We start from the raw sequence: 3,790 nt of genomic DNA on the forward strand, positions 1-3,790 counted from the left end.
ACATTTTCTCATGCTCACAGATTCTGTGGGTCAGGAATTTGGACAAGACGCAGCAGGGATGGCTTATCTCTGCCCATTGATGTCTGGAGCTCCAGCTGAGAGGAAGTGATTGGCAGTGTGTGACTCCAATGGCTTGCGGCTGGAAAAATCTGAAGGTTTCCTCACTCGCACGTCTGGGCTCGGGCTGCGATAACTCAGCTGGCGTTTTTAACCAACGTGCCTACATGCGACCTCGACACGGAGCAGGGGCATCCTCACAGCATGGCAGCCTCAGAGCAGTCAGACCCCTTCCGTGGTGGGCTCTGAGAGCAAGGGTTCCAACGAGAAGGGCAGATCAGCATCTGCCTTTTATGGCTAGCCTCAGAAGTCACAGAGCCTCCCTTCCAGCCTGCTCCGTTGGTTGAAGCAGTCACCAGCCTGCCCAGATTCAGGAAGCAGGGACATAGAAATTGAAGGTCATCAACTTGCTAACAGTTGTTATCCCTACAGAGTGGAATCTGGGGAGATTTTCATTTTCCCCATTGGCCTACATTTATTGCCTAATTTCTCTAAACGAGCAAGTACAAACTGTGTTATAAGTGTTTTGGAAAAATCATAGATCTTGCTTAAGATTCTCTTCCGTGCAACACAGCAAATCTATGTTTCTCATGCATTTTCCTTGTGAGTTCGATACAGCGACAGAGTTCAGAAATACACTGTATATTTTCCATAAACTCTTTCTACACAGCGATGCATGACCTAAGAGGCATCAAGATTACCTGTGACTGCATGAGTGAAAGGACATCTCATTTATCTGCAGAATCAGGGTCTTGCAGGCCCAGAAGCACTGCTTCCATTTTCTTCACTTGGGCCTTCTCCAGCGGTGCACAGAGCTCTGTGGGACCCACACCCTGCGTCCTTGTCCTTGTCACATGAGGGTAGTGCAAGCCCAAGAGAACGAGTGGCCGGCCTGTCTTTGTCCTTGAGCCTGGCTGTCCTGCCTTTACTGGAAGCTTCTCTTTCTCTGTCTCTTTTCTCCTCCTTCTACTTTTATTCTTTGCTCTCTGCTCACCCCCTTTACCCTCTCTACATTTTTCCTCTTTCCCCAATTTTCTCTCTAGCTCTCTGTACTCTCTCCTTTCATTTACTCCCTGCAACAATCATACCACCTCCCTAAGCACGATACAAAAACAGGTGAGGGAAGGACTGGATGAAATTAACAAAGCAGGTTTACATGGCTCTGTTGCCTTTTCTCAGCTACCAGTTTTGGTTGGTTGGTTTTTCCATCTCAATCTGTTTCATTTTATCTGTCTCATTTCCTTCTTTTTTCTTGTAATAAAATATACACAGCATGAAATAAATCATTTTAACCATTTTGAAGTTCAAAACATTTGCACAGTTCAGGGCACTAAGTACATTCACATTGTACATCACCACCACCCGTCTCCAGAACTCTTCATCTTCCAAAACAGAAGCTCTGTGCCCAATACATAACCAGCCCCTCACTCTCCACACACCCACCCCATGGCAGCCACCATTCTACTTTCTGTGTCCATAAATTTGGCTACATTAGGTACCTCGTATAAGTGGAATCTCATGATATTTGTCCTTTTGTGACTGGCTTCTTTCACTAAAATAATATCCTTCAAGCCCATCCATGTGCTAACATGTGTCAGAATTTTCTTCCTTTTTAGGGCTAAACTTTATTATTTATCTATTGTATGGATGTACCACATTTTGTTTATTTACTCTTCTGTCAATGGATACTTGGGTTCTCAGGTACCATTTTTTCTCAAACAAGGTGACATGGGCTTTTTCCCTTCCCTCACCTCAAAGAAGGGGTTCCCTCCCCCTGCTCCTTCATCCCAGCCCACAGGCAGGTCCGCTCTCCACTGCGGGAGCTCCTCAGAATTGGGGCCAGCCACCCTCCCCCGACCTTTGTCCACCCTCTTCCTGATTAATGGCATCTATTTCTATGGCCTTTGGTACCCTCCAGGGCTGGTGATGCCAGGCTTCTCTCTCCAAAGACAACTTCTCAGAGTCCCAAACCTCACACCCAACCAGGTATTTCATTGCACCACTTACGACTATCTCATCACATGGTCAAACCCAGAAATCTTGATTTTTCCCACCCATCCACTTGCAGAATAAATGTCATCAGAACCTTTCTGTAAGTCTGACAGGAGACTAGAGGTTTGATCTTCAGGGAAATTAAAGCTTGCTGCTCCAGCTCCAGACACCACACATAGAGAAGGATGAGAGGGAGACTCAGAGCTGAAAAGAGGGTAATTCATAGAAAGTCTGTACACTCTATGGTAGGAAGCATATCCAGCACTGCTACCAGAAAAATAGGACCAGTCCCCAGGCAAGAACCCCCAGGCAGTTTCGTCACTGGAGAAACTGAGGGTGTCCGCAAAAGTGACCTTCAGACATGGCTGTGTGGCCACTTTTCCTCTTGAGAAGCCTCCTGGTAACCAGTGGCAAGGCCGAGCCATGCCTACAAAGCTTTGAGTCATGCAGTAGGGCCTCACTCTTACCTGTAAATAAACAGCCAAGGATCAACAGGCATTTAAGGAAAACAGCAAGGTAAGCAGATTATTTAGAAACTGAGAAATAAATACCAAGAGCAGAGCTAAAGGAGTTGAAGATATTTGCCTCTGGGCAGCAAAGTTGTTGAATGGGAAAGAACTAATATGTTCAATTGTGCATTTTTTAGTGCTGTTTGATTTTTAAATATGTTTGTGTATATATATACACATATATAGGTAAAAATAATTTTTTAAGAGACAGGGTCTTGCTCTGTCACCCAAGTTGGAGTGCAATAGTGCTATTGTAGCTCACTGTAACCTCAAACTCCTGGGCTCAAGCGATTATCCCACCTCAGCCTCTCAAGTAGCTGAGACTACAGGCACGTACCACCATACCTGGCTAATTTTTTTAAAAAAATTTGTAGAGTTTCAGTCTCACTATGTTGCTAACTCCTGGCTTTAAGAGATCTTCCTATCTCAGCCTCCCAAAATGCTGGGATTACAAGCAAGAGCCACTGGACCTGGCCAGGTAAATATAATTTTAAAAAAAGAAAATATGAGTACCGCCAACAACCTATCTGCTCAAGAATGGAGAAATCTGGAAATTCTCTCTGATTCTTCCTTTTTTTCCCATCCTACAAAACTAGTCTATCACTAAGATTCACCCATTTAACATCCAAAATATTTCTTGATTCATCCACTTCTTTCCGTCTTTGCCACCACCGTCCTCAAATATGCCACCAGCACCTCTTCCTGGTTATACACAGCCCCGTATTGGTCTCTTTCCTTCCAACCTTACCCCTTCTCAAGGTAATACACTTATTCTTCTCAAGGCAATAAAACTGATCAGCATAAAAGGTAAATCAGGCTGGGCACAGTGGCTCATTCCCATAATCCAACATTTGGGGAAGCTGAAGTGGGAGGATCACTTGAGCCCAGGAGTTTGAGAGCAGCCTGGGCAACCTAGTGAGACCCCACCTCTAAAACAGAAGAAGAAGAAAGGTAAATGAGATCATGTAAAACCCTAAAATGTCTATCACCCTCAAACTGCAACATAAACTCCAATAGTTACCCCTAAGGTCCTGCTGGATCTGACCCCCACCTACCTGTTCAATCCCAGCTTGATTTGCTCCACTCTCTTCCTTGCTCATTAAGCTCCAGCCTCATTATTTTGCTTTCCTCCAATTCCAAAAAAAAAAAAAAAAGCCAAGATCTTTGCTGCTTCGGGCCTTTACCTATGTCATCTACATGCATGGAGATGTGGTTGCCTTTCTCCTCATCCA

The 3,790-nt window shown here is 44.7% G+C and overlaps 1 annotated feature.

Annotated features, from left to right (window-relative positions):
- Positions 223 to 378: a silencer, noted in NCBI's record as "fragment chr12:12080535-12080690 (GRCh37/hg19 assembly coordinates)". NCBI's record gives its function as "represses an EF-1alpha promoter that drives an FKBP-Casp9 reporter gene in an ReSE screen in K562 erythroleukemia cells {active_cell/tissue: K562}" and the evidence as "EXISTENCE:reporter gene assay evidence [ECO:0000049][PMID:32094911]".

The sequence above is a fragment of the Homo sapiens genome, chromosome 12, assembly GCF_000001405.40.
Source record: "Homo sapiens chromosome 12, GRCh38.p14 Primary Assembly".
Classification (NCBI taxonomy): Eukaryota; Metazoa; Chordata; class Mammalia; order Primates; family Hominidae; genus Homo; species Homo sapiens.